The 15,464-nt window shown below is 60.8% G+C and overlaps 2 protein-coding genes and 1 non-coding gene across 10 annotated transcripts in view, besides 5 other annotated features; 1 reads left to right on the forward strand and 2 right to left on the reverse strand.

Annotated features, from left to right (window-relative positions):
• Positions 107-4,794, reverse strand: HES2 (hes family bHLH transcription factor 2). Its single transcript, NM_019089.5, has 4 exons — positions 4,651-4,794; positions 4,482-4,577; positions 4,116-4,215; positions 107-4,028 (listed from the first exon to the last, which is right to left on the reverse strand). The coding sequence occupies exons 1-4, from the start codon at positions 4,693-4,695 to the stop codon at positions 3,748-3,750; spliced, it is 522 nt and encodes a 173-aa protein (NP_061962.2). The 5' UTR covers positions 4,696-4,794; the 3' UTR covers positions 107-3,747.
• Positions 8,366-8,980: an enhancer, noted in NCBI's record as "H3K4me1 hESC enhancer chr1:6483551-6484165 (GRCh37/hg19 assembly coordinates)". NCBI's record gives its function as "activates a minimal SCP1, AML or CMV promoter by ChIP-STARR-seq in naive H9 embryonic stem cells {active_cell/tissue: H9 hESC(naive)}" and the evidence as "EXISTENCE:reporter gene assay evidence [ECO:0000049][PMID:30033119]".
• Positions 8,981-9,594: an enhancer, noted in NCBI's record as "H3K4me1 hESC enhancer chr1:6484166-6484779 (GRCh37/hg19 assembly coordinates)". NCBI's record gives its function as "activates a minimal SCP1, AML or CMV promoter by ChIP-STARR-seq in naive H9 embryonic stem cells {active_cell/tissue: H9 hESC(naive)}" and the evidence as "EXISTENCE:reporter gene assay evidence [ECO:0000049][PMID:30033119]".
• Positions 9,591-9,750: a silencer, noted in NCBI's record as "silent region_153". NCBI's record gives its function as "represses an Ori minimal core promoter by ATAC-STARR-seq in GM12878 lymphoblastoid cells {active_cell/tissue: GM12878}" and the evidence as "EXISTENCE:reporter gene assay evidence [ECO:0000049][PMID:35858748]".
• Positions 9,651-15,464, forward strand: part of ESPN (espin) — a 36,595-nt gene continuing 30,781 nt past the window's right edge. For all 8 annotated transcript variants that reach the window (XM_017002433.2, NM_031475.3, NM_001367474.1 and 5 more), the window contains exons 1-2: positions 9,651-10,124; positions 13,101-13,294. In XM_017002433.2, the coding sequence (XP_016857922.1) occupies positions 9,831-10,124; positions 13,101-13,294 (488 nt within the window). In that variant the 5' untranslated portion in view covers positions 9,651-9,830. The remainder of the gene's footprint in view (positions 10,125-13,100; positions 13,295-15,464) is intronic.
• Positions 9,781-9,830: a silencer, noted in NCBI's record as "silent region_154". NCBI's record gives its function as "represses an Ori minimal core promoter by ATAC-STARR-seq in GM12878 lymphoblastoid cells {active_cell/tissue: GM12878}" and the evidence as "EXISTENCE:reporter gene assay evidence [ECO:0000049][PMID:35858748]".
• Positions 13,433-13,552: an enhancer, noted in NCBI's record as "active region_82". NCBI's record gives its function as "activates an Ori minimal core promoter by ATAC-STARR-seq in GM12878 lymphoblastoid cells {active_cell/tissue: GM12878}" and the evidence as "EXISTENCE:reporter gene assay evidence [ECO:0000049][PMID:35858748]".
• On the reverse strand, positions 14,709-14,771 carry MIR4252 (microRNA 4252). The gene has a single exon (NR_036218.1). It is a non-coding gene; the product is annotated as a microRNA 4252 (primary transcript).

Here is a 15,464-nt window from a genome sequence, read left to right on the forward strand (position 1 = left end):
AGGACGGCTTGAGCCCAGGAACTCAAGGCTGTAGTGAGCCATTATTGCACCACTACACTCCAGACAGAGCAAGACCCTGTCTCAAAACAAGTACAGGCACACCCCATTTTATTGCAGTTCACTTTATTGCACGTCAAGATATTGCCTTTTTTTTTTTTTAAACAAATTGAAGGTTCGGGGTAACTCCAGAGTCAAGCAAGTCTATTGGCAACATTTTCCCACGAGCATGTGCCCACTTTGTATCTGTGTGTCACACTTTCGCAATTCTTGCAATATTTCAAACTTCTTCCTTATTATATCTGTTGTGAAGCTGGTTCTCCCAGACGTTCCCTGCAGGCTGTTTATGCAGCGCCCATCCGAGATGAACCCACAGGACACTCAGGATCCCAGACTGCAGGAGTCGTCTGGGATCACAGGCGGGGCAGAGCAATTTGTCAATGTTTATGAGGAGTCCTCCTTGGCAGCCCAGTCTTTATCCTCACTCACGTGGAAATGAGATTCGACCTCTCCTAATCACCTGGTGCCCGAGGAGCAGGTAGGCGCCTGTCCCAAGCCTGAGTTTCCTGGGAAATCTACATTTCAGCACAGATGGGTTCCCAGCAGCTTAGTGCTCTGGCTGTCCTTAGGTCACTGAATCATTTCACCCGCTAGTTTTTTGTTTGTTTGTTTTTGAGATGGAGTCTTGCTCTGTCACCCAGGCTGGAGTGCAGTGGCGCGATCTCGGCTCACTGCAACCTCCACCTCCTGGGTTCAACTGATTATCCCTCCTCAGCCTCCCAAGTAGCTGGGGTTACAGGCACCCGCCGTCATGCCCAGCTAATTTCCATATTTTTGTAGAGACGGGGTTTCACCATGTTGGTCAGGCTGGTCTTGAACTCCTGACCTCAGGTGATCCGCCCACCTTGGTCTCCCGAAGTGCTGGCATTACAGACGTGAGCCACTGCGCCCGGCCTTGCCCACTGGTTTTATGAGAAAGAGACATGGGAGCCTTTTCCCCAGCTGGGGCAATCATCAGACAGTCACATGGAGTCACAGAACCATCTTGCAACAGCATCCCAAGACCTGGCCATTGGGCAGGATGTGGGACTTGTGAAAGGTCATAAATGACCCTTTGAATCAGTCTCCCTCTGCACAGGAAAAGCCCACCGCCCTGCGTTCACCTTTGCCCATCAGATAGGGCTTGGGGGGCACCTGAGGAGGAGGTGCCTGCCACTGCCTGTGGAGGAGGATGTTGGCGTTCCTATTTCACAAGCCCGGCTTGGAGAGCCAGCGGAGACCTTCTGCGCAGCTAGCTCTTGCACACACCCCTGCGGAGAAACTCTGCCTTCTTGCCTGGGGCCCAGAACCTTACCCACCCAGGCTTGCCCCCTCCCTTCCAGGGCCCACTGACCTCCTGACTCAGGCTCCCCCGAGTGCCTGACCCTGTGAGTCACTGGCCCATCTACAATCCTTCTCCCCGTGACTGCTTGAGTTGTAGCTTGATTGGAGCCAGGTCAATGCAAGTCACAGAACTGCGAACTGAGATGGACTCTCAGAAGCAAGAGGTGGCAAGCATGGCGGAGAGGAAGCGAGGGTCCTCCTGGCTGGTTAGATCTTACAGAGTTTAAGCTGTACTGAGAGTTTTTATGAGGACAAGGGGCCAGTCCTGTGCCTGCCTGATGTGGAGTCCTAGGCGGGCTTGGGCCGCAGGTTACCTGCTCCCGGAGGCTCACAAAGGCAGTGCCAACAGGCGCTCATTCTCAGCAATGGGTGAAAGTAAGAGGAACCTGCCCTCCCTCCTCTCCACACCTCCCCAGTATTTGTCCTCATGGAGTAAATATCCAACAGTGATCCCAGGGCATGGGAGTGGGAGTTAAGGCAAATGCCAGACTGTCCAAGGCTCATTACAGGGTAGTCCTCTCATCCTCTGCTCACTAGTCCACTATATTCAGTGAGCACCCACTGTGCACCCTGTGCCTTGGGGACGTGGAGGCACGCTCAGCCCCAGCCTCGCCCTCCGGGAGCTTACAGTCTAACCCTCTGGGCACAGGGAGGTGGGAAGATGGCACGGCCTTGCTGGGAGCCTCACCCTGTTGGCTGAACAATGATTTTTTCAATAATGCCTACAGCTTCCTTCATATCCTGCCACCCAAACCAGTGCCAAGGTCATCATGGGCTTGTGTGGCACAGTCAGATTTAGTGACCATCCCCACTCCCACATTGGTTCTGTCTTCTTGCCCCCGGTGCTCTGGTCCCTAGCACAGGCTGCTGATTTGGGGACTCGGGGGAGAATCCTCCACCTTCTGCAAATGCTTAGCCATGAAATGACGGGTGTTTGCCTGACTATGATTTCATGAATCCCCCATGAAATGATGGGTGTTTGCCTGATTATGGGCCAACAGTGCCCCCCACTCCTCGTGGGCACTCCTGGGATCAGCAGCCCCTTCCTAGCCTTCACAGGGACTCTAGGCCTCCATGGAAAAGAAAGAAATAAAAAATTTTTTTTGAGACAGAGTCTTGCTGTGTCACCCAGGCTGGAGAGCAATGGCTCAATCTTGGCTCACTGCAACTTCAGCCTCCGAGGTTCAAGTGATTCTCTTGCCTCAGCCTCCCGAGTAGCTGGCACATGCCACCACACCCGGCTAATTTTTGTATTTTTAGTAGAGACGGGGTTTCACCATATTGGCTAAGCTGGTCTCGAACTCCTGACCTCAGGTGATCCACCCGCCTTGGCCTCCCAAAGTGCTGGGATTACAGGCGTGAGCCACCGCGCCCGCCCAGAAAGAAAAATCTTAACAAGTTGCTTCCAGTAACCAGTCTCAATGAGTAGCAGGGAGTAGTTTGCAAGAAAAAAAAACAAGTGAAGATGTTTCCCATTCTTTAACCTGCTCCATCCCTCAAATTCCTGCTGCTCCATGGCAGGGGCCCTGCTCACCCCACATTGGCACAGACTCTGCTGGAGTCAGATCCTCCAAAGCCACAAGCTTCCTTGAGGCCACGGGGCCGCCTCATTCTTGTTCTGCCCCTTCCTCACACTGAAAGACTGCATAGCCTGGGGTGCAATGCCCAGGTGTGAAATTGATGCTCGGGAAAACAAATCCTTCCCAAAGTCACTTAAGGAATCCCCCAGCCCCACCGCACAGACCCCTGGATGTATACTGCCCCTATAATTCTGCTCTAGGCAGAAAAGCCTAGGAGTGGAGGTGACAGCTCCCAGCATATGCACCCTTTTGCTCTGCTCTGCTGCCCTGTAGAGCCCTGGAAGTGACCAGAGCCCTTAGGCTACTGCTGCTGCATGCCCAGAGGGTCCCAAGCAGAGCTGGGCAGGAGGTAGGCCCAGGCAGGGCTGGGAGAGCAGTGACCAGGCAGGGTGCACGGCTGCACTTTGCCCAGGTCCTGGCTCTGGCTCTGGTCTGGTGCCAGTGCTGGGGTGGGTGTGTCGGCTGCCCACGCAGCTGCGGGGTCCAGTTCCAGAACTATCTCCACCAGCTGGGATGGGGGGCTTCTTCTTCACCCTGCTGCCTCTTGTCCTTTCTTCTCCAGCCAAGTTGGGGGTGAAGCAGGGACGCTCCTTTTATTCCCTGAGCCGAGCCCCAGCCCCAGGGCTTTCAGTCTGCCACGCCAGTCACAAACAGCCGGCTTCCGGCCTGGGTGTGGGTACTGGGCTGGCCCCTAATGATGGGAACAGCAGCCGCCACCAAGAGCTTCAACCTGTCCAGTGCCCCAAGGTCCCAAGCAGTCGGCAGGGTCTGTGGATCGGCCGAGGGGCTACCACGGCCGCCAGAGGCCAGGGCCGCAGGGAGGCGAGGGCGGCGAGGGCACCGGAGCGGATGCGGGCTCTGGGGCAGACGCGGGCGCTGGGGCGGGGGCAGACGGGCCACTGGAATCCCCAGCGCGCCCGCCGTCCAGGGTGGCGCTGGCCGCTCTCCGCCACAGGTGCTCCAGCAGGCGCGCGCTCACGGCGGGCTCCAGGACACGGCAGGCGGGCAGCACGCGGGCCAGGCGCGCCACACAGGCGCTGTAGCCCTCGCGGTAGCTGTCGCAAGGCACTGCGGGCGGAGAGCCGCGTGAGGCGCGGGGTAGGGTGCCGGGTGCGGGGTGCAGAGCGCGCGGCAGGGCAGGGAGGGCTCACTCACGGGGCGCTGCCGTGGGCCATGAGGACGCAGGCAGCTCCTGCAGGAAGCGCACGGTCATTTCCAGGACGTCTGCCTTCTCTAGCTTCGAGCAGTTGGAGTTCTGCGCCCGGCCACGAGGAAGAGCGACAGAGAACCACCAAGACAGAACTTTGGCCGGCTACCGTGCGCACCCTCGCTCTAGTCGGGAGCTGGGTGTGGGGCGCGCCGTGGCCTGCTGGGGGTCCGCTCCGACGCGCCCACCCCACCCAGGCTCCGCCTCGGGCGCCGCGCGGAACCCCCTGGTGGGTTCCTCCCGCAGGAGCACCCCGTCCCCCTGCCCCCGCTCCGCGCCCCAGGACCCTCTGCCCTCCGCCCGGGCGCGCTCACCTCCCGGCCCAGCAGCGGCAGGATGAGCCCCTTAAGCTGGCTCAGGCTCTGGTTGATGCGCGCGCGCCGGCGCTTCTCCAGCAGCGGCTTCAGGCTCTGCGGACGGGCGGCGCGGTGGTTAGACGGGTCCCCGGAGTCCCCAGCCCCGCCCCCAGTCCCCGGTACCCACCTTGCGCAGCTCCGCCGCGTCCCCTGCCCGGCGAGGCAGCCCCATGCTCCGCGGGGAAGCGGTGGCAGCTGCGAGCCCCACGCAAAGGGAAACCGAGGTCCGAAATGAGGTCCCGGGCGCGGCCCGGGCTGGTGCCAGACGAGTGCGCGCCCCGCCCGCGGCCGAGCTTTAAGGGAGCGGCTCGCCCGCCCCGCCCCGCCCCGCGGAGTCCGGCCGCCCGCTGGTCCCACCTCCTGCCTTTGTTCCTGCGCAGGGTGGAGCCGGGAGGGGAGACCGCGACGCCCCCGGGGATCCCGCTCCCCGCCTTTGCGTCCTGTCTACCGCGGGGTGGCGGCCCCCAGTTTTCCCCGAGCACCTGCGGGAGAGTGGTAAAGGCGCCATCGGGGGCCTTCGCTGCGTGACCCCGAGGGCAGGAGGGCCAGGTGGGGCCAGGCCTTGCCTGACTGGAGCTACGGTCCCTCCTCTCCAATGCTGCCCTTCATTCATTCCCCAGGCTCGGGTTCAGCGTCTTCTCTGAGCCCCGCCCTGGGCCGCAGCAGGGGACCCAGCGGTTACGGGAGCTCCCATGAGGGACAGCAGCGGGAGGGACTTGCACCCCCAGCTGCTTTATCGGGTGAAGGGCTGAGCTGGACGGGAAATCCGAGTTCCGGAGAAAGGTCGTGACTTGCTCCAGTCCTCGACGCTGGGAACAGGCCGAGCCTGGACAAGGGCCCCAGTCGCTGGACGCCCGGCTCTAAGGAGCCCGTAGAACCCTTCGGCGGCTTGCCTAGTTAAGAGTCTTTTGGTTACCCCACTCCAGGCTTTGGGTGGGGAAACGGAATCCTAGAGAAGCAGAGGCAGCCCTGGAGCCCTCGGAGCTCGTTTTCATTCCCACCGGCTAGGGGTCCGGGTTCTCGCCCGCAAGACAGTCAGGGCTCATGTGACGCGCGGGCAGGACAGTTTTGGGTGCGGGCCCCAGTGGCCCGCCCAGGACCGCCTTCGCGCCGCGTGGCCGTTGCTGCGGCAAACTGGCTGGCGTCCCCCGCCCATCTGCTCCGGGCTCCCCTCCCCCGACCGGCTGGCGGGGCAACGGCCACGCCCGCGAACCACACTGCGAACTGCCGGGCAGAGAGATGACTGGAGGGATCCACAGAGCCAGCCAGGAGGAGTTCCCCTATGGGGCGGGGCCAAGGAGGGCTCTGTCCAGGGTGTTGGATGAACCCCCTGTCCCCCGAACCCCACTTCCGAGCTCCACCCCTGCCGCTAGCCCCACGTCTCCCTCCTTCAGGGTTCTCGCCGCAGGGTGGAAGAAGGCCAGCGAACACACTGAGGGGCCCGGAGAAGCCTGGGCCAGGGGAGCCCAGGCCACCCATACCTATCTGTGGCATGGGAAGGAATGTAGGCCACCTTTCATGGACACTTACTGTGTGCCAAGCTCAGGGCTTAACGCTTTAAGGCTCGCTAACCTGCATTAACCCTCATAAAAGACCTAACAAGTAAGAATAAATCCTTCAACAGATTTGGCCCAGCAGGGCTTGGAGGAACCTGAGACCTTGTTCTCCGTGGTTGAGGCCAGTTTGACTCCATAGGCCTCCCCTAAGACAATTAATTGTTCTTTAAGAGCTCAAAAAACTCTGTGGATCTTTTCCCTCTCATCCCCAGGCCAAGCGACTTAGCTTGGCTGACTCAGGTCTGCACCCACAAGTCCGCCTGCAGCATCTGCATCTTGGGGAGGGACTGACCCTAGCTCCTGGGAGAAAAAGGCTGAAGGAGGAGGCTCCCCTTAGAACATCCCCCTCCAGGTTTGCGGACCACCATTTGAAGACTGAATGGCAGGGGAGCAAACACCATTTCCATTGCCAGTTACCCCCAGTTAAAAATATTTCTTCCTCTACTCTCCCATTGGGTAAAGGACTTTAACCAAGTAACCCACAGTTCTCTTCAACTCAAGGATTTTCAGGTTTTGCTGGTTACTTGGAAGGAGTGGTCTGGAATCAGAGGAACGTTAAAGACAGCTAGGTGGGCAAATGTCGGGTGCAGGCTTTAGGGGAACTGGGACCACCTAGGATACAGTAAGGATACACTCCACCCCTGGTCCCTATTCTTGGGAAGTGCCCTGGCCCTTGGGTTGAGGAGAAACCTGGGGTGGGCTGGGGTGAGCCCAGCAGAGGGGTGAGAGAAGCCCTCCTGGGGAGAGAATCCCTAAGCTGATAGCTGGAGGGTGGGAGACTCTAGGGGTGCTGTGGGCAGAAGGAACCTTGGGTGGAGAGGAAAGAAGAGCCCAGAAGGCTCAGCCAGGGAGTGAAAGCTTTGCCACTTCCCATCTGTGTCATCTCAGGCAAAATGCTTTAAAAAAACAAAACAAGGCTGGGCGTGGTGGCTCATGCCTGTAATCTCAGCACTTTGAGAGACCAAGGTGGGCAGATTACTTGAGGTCAGGAATTCGAGACCAGCCTGGCCAACATGATGAAACCCCATCTCTACTAAAAATACAAAAAATAAAAAAATTAGCTAGGCATGGTGGCGGGCAGACACCTGTAATCTCAGCTACTTGGGAGGCTGAGGCAAGAGAATCACTTGAACCTGGGAGGCAGAAGTTGCAGTGAGCCTAGATTATGCCATTGCAATCCAGCCTGGGTGACAAGAGTGAAACTCCATCTCAAAAAACAAACAAACAGGCCGGGCACAGTGGCTCACGCCTGTAATCCTAGCACTTCGGGAGGCCAAGGTGGGCAGATCACGAGGTCAGGAGATCGAGACCATCCTGGCTAACACAATGAAACCCCGTCTCTACTAAAAATACAAAAAATTAGCTGGGCGTGGTGGCAGGCACCTGTAGTCCCAGCTACTCGGGAGGCTGAGGCAGAAAAATGGCGTGAGCCTGGGAGGCGGAGCTTGCAGTGAGCTGAGATTGTGCCACTGCACTCCAGCCTGGGCGACAGAGCAAGACTTGTCTCAAAAAAAAAAAAAAGAAAAAAAGAAAAAAAACCCTCCCTATCTCTCCATGCCTCATTATCCCCGACTGTGAACTGGGAACAATAGTTGTACCTCTCTCATAGCACCTCTGGATTAAATATCCATGTGAAGCATGGTGAGCACTTGGTGGGTGGTACAGATTTCATAAAAGTGCTACTGCTGCCGTGAGCTCCCTAGGGCTGCTGGGGAGGACCCAATTGGCCCGGTGGACATGGGAGAGCCCGGAGAGGACAGAAGCCTGGCAGGAAGGGCCTGGCTCACAGCCTGAGTTTGAGTCATGTCCCGAAAGGAGTCTGAGAGGTTGGTCAGCAGGGGTGGGTGCTCACATGTGGCACTAATGGAGATGTCATTAACAACAGTGGCAGGGGCTCAGGGGCATCTGCTCAGCCCACTGGAATAGCAATAAAGCATCACCTAGCCCTGGCCCACAAAATCACAAAACCATGTGCTAGATGAGCTCGTCCATGACCAAGGTGGCCACCTTAGGAGTGGAGAACACAAATTGCAGGGCCTTTTGGAATGGAGGAGGCCCAGGGGAGGGGTGCCCAAGACAAGCCATTTTAGCACCTCCTCCCAACAGTACCCCTGCCACTTGCTGGCCTCACGGCACACCTGCCTCTGGGCACCCAGAGGAGGGCAGCGCCAGCCGCAGTGAGCCTGTTGCTTTGGCCACCAGCTCCAGCAGCGAGGCTGCGAGGAAATGACTCCTCCTTCCTTTTGTCTGCAAACCACTGGGCAAGCGTCCCAGATTCCAGCGGCCACAGGTCCCATGGAGAGAGTGAGGGCGATCTGGCCTGGTGGAAGTCGTTGGAAACCCACCTGGCTAGGCACAGCCCAGCAGCTCCAGTTACCTGGGCACCTGGGAGCGCGGGAGGCCATCACGCAGGTCGCCACTAGGTGGCAGGCCCAGGGAAAGGACCGGAGGCAGCTGCCGAGTTTAGCACTATGAGTTTAGCACTATGACTCCCACTGTTCCTGGAAGGGGCTTCCTTCATTCTACAGCATTTCCAGTGCTGACTGTGCCAGGCTGGGGCTGGGGCGGAGTGAAACCTTCAGCCCGGGGTGGGGCCAAGCCCCCACGGGACTCCAGAGGGGGTGGGTGTTGGGACAGGAAGGGCACAGGGTGCTTCAAGATCGCTGATAGGCCGCCTGCACTCCCACAGCCATGTAGCTCCCACCTTCTGTCAGCTTTTCCTCGCGTCCTTTGGGCACTAGCCGCTCCCACGGCTGGTGTTCAGTGGAGCCTGCAGGGTGGCTTGGCACACATTCGCTCTCCTGCCCGCGCCCTCTGGCACTTTCCTGAGCCCCTGCAGGGGTCTCAGCCCCCTCTCTCTGGATGCCGGCGCTCCCGCGTCTCCCCACAAGCCCTAACCTCCCACCCATCCCTGCCTTCTGTGTGGCTGGAAGCCCCTCCACACCGACAGCGGCTGCGGGCGGCCTGAGGCCATGGCGTTCCCAGCGCACTAGTGGTTCCCGTCCTGCCTTCCTGCCCTCCCCGCTGGAACCTCTGGGGGCAGTTCTCGGATCTGGAGGGACCCTGGAAGGCAGGGCTCTTTGCAATCTCCGGGGATTTCGACCCAGAGCCCTTCAGGGACGTGGCAGGGCTGCTCCTGCCTCAGGGCCGTTGTCCTCGTGCTCCTCACCCCGCCTGGAATACCCTTCTCGCCGCTCAAACCCAGCCCCACGGCACCTCCTCAGAGACCTTTCCCTGTCCGCCCACGCGGTCCCGACAATCACTCCCCATCACCTCTGGAATTGCGTCGCCGGCGCCTGGAACCGCAGTTAGCGGGCACTGGGCAGATGAATGAATTTGTCTGTGCCTGGACGGCTCTCCAATTCGAACCCAGTTTTGCTGCCCTCTGGGGTCTCAACTGTTACGTGAGGCAAATTAGGAGAGAAGCCCCTGGGCACCTTGCCCCAGTCGCACGAGTGTCCCCGCGTCGCGGCGGGGGCGGGCGGGGAACTCGGGCGGAGGCTGCGGGGCGGGGCGGGGCGGGGTGGGGGCGGGCCCGAGTCTTAAGCCGGCGTCCGCGGGCTCCGGCCCCAGAGCGCGGCGGAGCGGAGCGCCAGGCAGCGCGGAGCGGAGGCCAGGCCCACAGCCGCTCCGCCTCCCGGCCCGCAGATCCCCGACGGCCGCACCGCGGGCTCCTCTGGCCCGCAAGAACACGTGCATGGCGTCCTGGGGAAGGCGCTGAGTGCGGAGTCGCGGCGCCGCACGCGGCACCATGGCCCTGGAGCAGGCGCTGCAGGCGGCGCGGCAGGGCGAGCTGGACGTGCTGAGGTCGCTGCACGCCGCAGGCCTCCTGGGGCCCTCGCTGCGCGACCCGCTGGACGCGCTGCCCGTGCACCACGCGGCCCGCGCTGGGAAGCTGCACTGTCTGCGCTTCCTGGTGGAGGAAGCCGCCCTCCCCGCCGCGGCCCGCGCCCGCAACGGCGCCACACCGGCCCACGACGCCTCCGCCACCGGCCACCTCGCCTGCCTGCAGTGGCTGCTGTCGCAGGGCGGCTGCAGAGTGCAGGTGGGTCCGCGCGGTTCGCCAGGGGCACTGAGGCTTCCTCCTCAGGACAGAGTCCTGGCCCAGAGTCCCCCGGGGCTCAAGGATGGGTGGGGTTTGGCACCTCCTGGCCCAGCTGAACCCTGCACGGAGCTCCTTCCAGAGGCCCTCAAGTGAATGGGCTCCCTGGCTTGCCAGTACTGGGGCAGATGCCCTGGCGAGCCTGGGTGCTCCCTGGAAGCGCACCTGGGTGATGGGAGCCAGAAGGGAGGGGCCTCCGTGGGGCTTGTGGTTACTAGTGTGTACCGGGAGAAGCAAAGCACTGATCCTGTAGTCCTGGAAGTGGGTGGGACGTGAGGCCTGGGCAGCAGAGTCAGACGCCCGTGTCCTCCAGGACCGGATCTGAAAGGAGGCTGGGCAAAGTCCCACAGCCCACCCGAGGCTGAGATTCAGGTGTCCCAGCCAGGGTGTGGGGGAAGGGTGATGAGCCGTGGTAAATGGGGGTCTCCCCATAACCCAGGCTGACCCCAGGACATCAGTGCTGTCAAGCTGTCAGCTGCTTCTCCAACCCAGGCTGATTCTTGCTGCCTCCAGACCCCACCTGGTCACTCTGAGCAGTGACCTCCAAGGGGAGTCCTGGCTGCTGAGAAGCAGGTAGCCAGGCAGCGGTGGGACAGTTCCAGGCACAGGGAACAAGAAGTGCAGAGCCCTGAGGCATGCACGCTCTTGTCCTGTCGGAGGGCCAGCCTCAGGCATCATGTTCAGAGTGGGTGAGGAAGGGAAAAGCTGCCAGGGCCAGGCCAGAGAGTATCATAGGCCGAGGTTAGGGATTTGGATGAAATTCTGGGTGTGGGGGCAGCCATGGGAGGGAGGAACCACAACCGATTTCCACTTAGACCACTGGGTGACCTGGAGATGGAAGGGGAGGAGTCAGGGTAACTCTAAACTGGCTTACTATGCCCCAAAGATGGCCAGGCCAACCCCACCTTCTGCCTTCAGATAGCAAGCCCCTCTTCCCACCCTTCCTGGGAGATGGCCCACCTGCTATCTCTCAGTGGGCCCTGTTACCAGGGCTTCCTGGCCAAGTGGCCCATGCCCACTCTTTTGGGCGGTGGCATGCCTCCCAGATCCAGTGTCCAGCCCTGGCCAGAAGCCTCTCTGGCCAGTGCAGAGGAGCTGGGAGAAGCAGGTGGCCTTGGGCCCAGCTTATCGTCTCCTGCCCTCTGGGCTGGGCAGGCTTGGGTGTGGGGGGAGAAAGTGTGGGGGGGATGACCTGGATCCTTGGGCTTGCCCAGCCCAGAGAGATAAGCTGCTTTAGGGTGTGGTCCACCACGCACGAGGCTCCTGGGGCCTGGACACCTGGACAGCCTGGACAGGCACAGGCCAGAGCCCACAGGCCTGTGGCCCTCTCCTTACAGTTTCCACCACTTAGAGGCCCAGAGCCAGTGGGACCCCTGGAGCTTCAGACCCACAGTCCCCAAGGCCAATAGGAAGGGAGCGCCTTTCTCAGGAGCTGGGGCTTAGGTCACATTTCACCATGGTTCTGCCTGGGTGCCCGCTAGCCAGCCCCGACCTTTGGGCTCGGAGGGGACAGACTGAACCAGTCTCTGGCCCCCCCACTCCCAGCTTTCTAGCACACAGGAGGGGCCTCGGTGTTGTCCTCAGCTTCCTATGGGCCATCACATTCTCTGCCCCATCTTCCTCCCTGCCTCCTTAGCAGGACAGCCAGACAATTGCCCCCACCCCGCAGGCTGCCTGAAGACCCTACTAGTGGCCCCGGCGCCCCCAGCTCCCTCCGTGCCCTCTTTTCCTTGCATTTCTCACGGGAGCCTCAGAGGTTCTCTTCCCACCGTGATTTGACTTCCTGAGGCCTGGGGTCTCTTGCCAGCTCCTGCCGCCTCTGCCAGTCTGTAACCACAGTGCCCTCTCTCTGGGCAAGGCGGGGCAGAGAGGCTTTACTCCCTGATCCTAGTGAAGTGTGTCCACTGCATCCTGCACCCAGAACCCTGCCCACCCCTCTGTCATCCTATGTGCTTGGTGCTGGGAGGTGGTTCTGTTCCCGAACCAGTACCCACTCTGCCAAGTGCGGCAGCCTCTGTGTCTAGATGTTCCCGGGAATTCTCCTCCCAGCACAGGTCCTGTAAGCACTCCCCTCCAGCCCCTTTCTCAGCAGACACACACAATGGGGTGTGCACTGATGACACATTCAGCAGTTCTGGGCCCAGACCTCTGGCCCCACCTGCTCTGAGGTCCCCGGGGGGAGTTTTGTCCAAGCCCTCCCAGAGGCCACCACTAGCCTGCACCTAGCACCCCTGGCTGACTGCCCCGGACCCGCCCACCAGTACCCAGCAACTTCCACCTCCACAGGGGCGAGAACACAGGCTGCTCCTGTGGCTGGGCACTGGCGAGTCTGCTGGGGGAGGGGCCGGTTTTCTGCACTGAGGTTGGGTTCCTGGAGGCGTACCAAGGTGGAGGTCTCTGTTCCCACGTGACACCGAGGAAGGGTGGAGAGATCGGGGGCAAGTGTTGGATGCAGGGGGTGACCCCCAATCCTGATGCTAGCTTGGTACAGCCCCACAGCCCCCCTTCCTGGCCCTGCTCAGCCCAGTAACCCTGTGTCACTCCTTCAGGCATTCCCTGAGTCCCTGGGAGTCAGGGCTGTGGCCCTGGGCCTGGTGCCAGTCTCCTGCCGTGACAACCAGGTGCCTGTCGTGTAGGCAGCTCGCAGTCAGGACCTGCAGCCTCTGAAAACCCTGCACGGTGCTGCCTATTGGCTACGGTTCAGAGAGGGCCAGTTAGTTGCCCAAGGACAGAAGCAGGACTCAAACCCAGGATCCGCTTGACCCAAAAAAAACATTGCTGAATGAGGCCTGGCCAATCCCTCCAGGGAAGACAGAGAGCACAGAGCTACCTTCCAGGCCTGTGGGAGTCTGGGAGTGGCCCAAGCCAGGGGCGGGGCAGCAACAGGCTTTAGGACTTGAACCAGCTCTCCTCCCACAGGACAAAGACAATTCTGGTGCCACAGTCTTGCATCTGGCTGCCCGCTTCGGCCACCCCGAGGTGGTGAACTGGCTCTTGCATCATGGCGGTGGGGACCCCACCGCGGCCACAGACATGGGCGCCCTGCCTATCCACTACGCTGCCGCCAAAGGAGACTTCCCCTCCCTGAGGCTTCTCGTCGAGCACTACCCTGAGTAAGATCACCCCTCTTAAGGGGTCCTCTGGGTGGGCTGGGCCAGGGCTTTGGGGGATGCCTGGGATTTTCCACGCCTCTCTGGCACTCCAGGGCAATGATCCCTCCAGTGGCCATCCTGGGGCCAGAGGGCCAGGCCAGAGAAATGGCTCCCACTCAACATGAAATTTTCCCCTCCTGGAAAACCCCTTCTGGGGCTGCCCCCAGAGCCCTGCAAGCAGGTGCTCCCAGCATCCTCAGCTGCCCGGCCGCACACAGCTGGACCTGGGAGGCTGGGCACACAGGCCAAGGTCACCTGTTCCCCTTGGGCTGCTTCTGCCGCAGGGGCTCTCTCTGGCTCAGGCTGTGCTCATTTGCAAGACTGTTCAGGATGGAGTCGGGGGCAGCAAGGGCAGGAGCGCCTCCTAGGCCCTAGTCAAACAGGCAGAAAGGGAACCCCATCAGTTACCAAGCAGTTAAGGGAGAAAGGCCCCTCCCAGACCCCCACCCCACCTCCTGGCCCCAGAGCCCCTGGCTGGAGGCCATCCAGAGAGCATCTTGTTATCTCCTGTGGCCCCTCAGCCCGTTCCTACTATCAAGGGAAGCATGGGGATCCCAAACCTCCTGGGGAGTGGGCTGGGAGCTCCCCTGGGTGGGGTGGGGGGTCACACAGAGCAGGGGGCATGTGTGAGTCTTGGGGAGGGAGGGAGGGAGGGAGGGACTCAGGTGTTAGGTGCGCCTGGGGAGGCAGGGATCCTGGGGAAAGCTGCCCAGGGCCTGTCTGAGAGGGTAGGGTGCCAGATGCCACAGGGGTCTGAGCGGGGAGTGGGGTGCTCTGATGGGTGACCCTCATTAGTCTAAGTGGGAGCCTGAGATGTAAATGTGAATGTGGACCCAGCCTCAGGACGAGAGCAGCTTTGGTATGAATTCACTGCTTCCAAACAAACTAGGATTTGGATCATGTCAAAGTCAGTGGGATTTAGACTAGGAGGGCCCCAGGGACCCTTGAGTAGAGGGTTCCAACTGGCTCCTGTCAGCACCTCTTGGAGGCTGTCCCAGATTCCTGAGTTAGACTCTCCAGGTTGGGGCGTGGGAGCCACACCTGGGACATGTCCCCACCCTCACGGCGGTGATTCTGATGCACCTGTCCCACCCCCTCACTTCAAGCAGAGGAGAAGGACAGGTCTTGAGAGGGGCAGGTGCCCCTGATGGCGGGACCAATATGGCCCAAGTGTGAACTGGAGGACGCTGAGCCCACCTTCTGCAAGTGCTGGTGGGGACCGCCAGCCCCTGAGCCTTCCTCACTGAGAAGCCGTGATCCCTCCGTGGGCTGGATCCCAGGTGTTAGGAAGACTGGCTGTGCTGTGGAACGCCCTCCAGGGCTCCGGGGCTGGGGGACCCTGACCCCCTCCCAGGCCATGCCAGGTGCTGTGTGTGATTGGGCGCTGGTGCTGACTCAGTGGCCAGATGGCCTGGACTGATGAGCTGCCAGCCCCCCAGGAGTCACCATGAATCTCAGGGAGGTGGACAGAGGGCTTGGGCTCCGTTCCCCACAGCAGCATGTGACTCGACTGATAAGAAGGTGTCTTTGTGTGGTTGCCAGGCTGGGCTCACGCAGGAGGGGCAGCTGGGAATTGGGGTTGGGGGCTGGGGTACCCACTTAACCTCCTACCTTGGGGGTAGGGATTCCTGCTCATCAAGGCTGTGGATATGAGGGCTGGGAGCTGGGGAGGGCAGAGGCTTGAGCTGCCCCAGGACACAGGGCCCCATCAGGGGACCCAGGTGGCCCAGCTTCATGCTCTTGTGAGCCTCTGGGGCCTGCTGTGAATCGTTGTGAATTATTCACAAGGCTCAGCTCTCTCGCTGGCGCGTGGGTGAGCACTGAGGGAGGAAGGGCTCCCGGACCTGCTGGTGGGAAACTCGATCCTGCCAGGGAGGCTGTGGGTGGCCACGGGACGAGGAAGTGACACGCTGCAGAGGAGCTGGAAGGCTGGACAGCCTCGGGGAAGCTCAGCTAATTCCAGGTCTATACCTTGGGGTGTTATAACAGAAAGCGCTTGAGATTGCAGGAATGTCCTGCACGTCCCCCACACCTCCCCGTCTGTCCCGTTCATGGGGCCAAGTCTTCCCAGAAGCAGAGGACTTGTCACACTGACCTCAGGGGCTGCTGCCACGCGGGACCCTCCCTCTGA

Source organism: Homo sapiens, chromosome 1 (genome assembly GCF_000001405.40).
Source record: "Homo sapiens chromosome 1, GRCh38.p14 Primary Assembly".
Taxonomy (NCBI): Eukaryota; Metazoa; Chordata; class Mammalia; order Primates; family Hominidae; genus Homo; species Homo sapiens.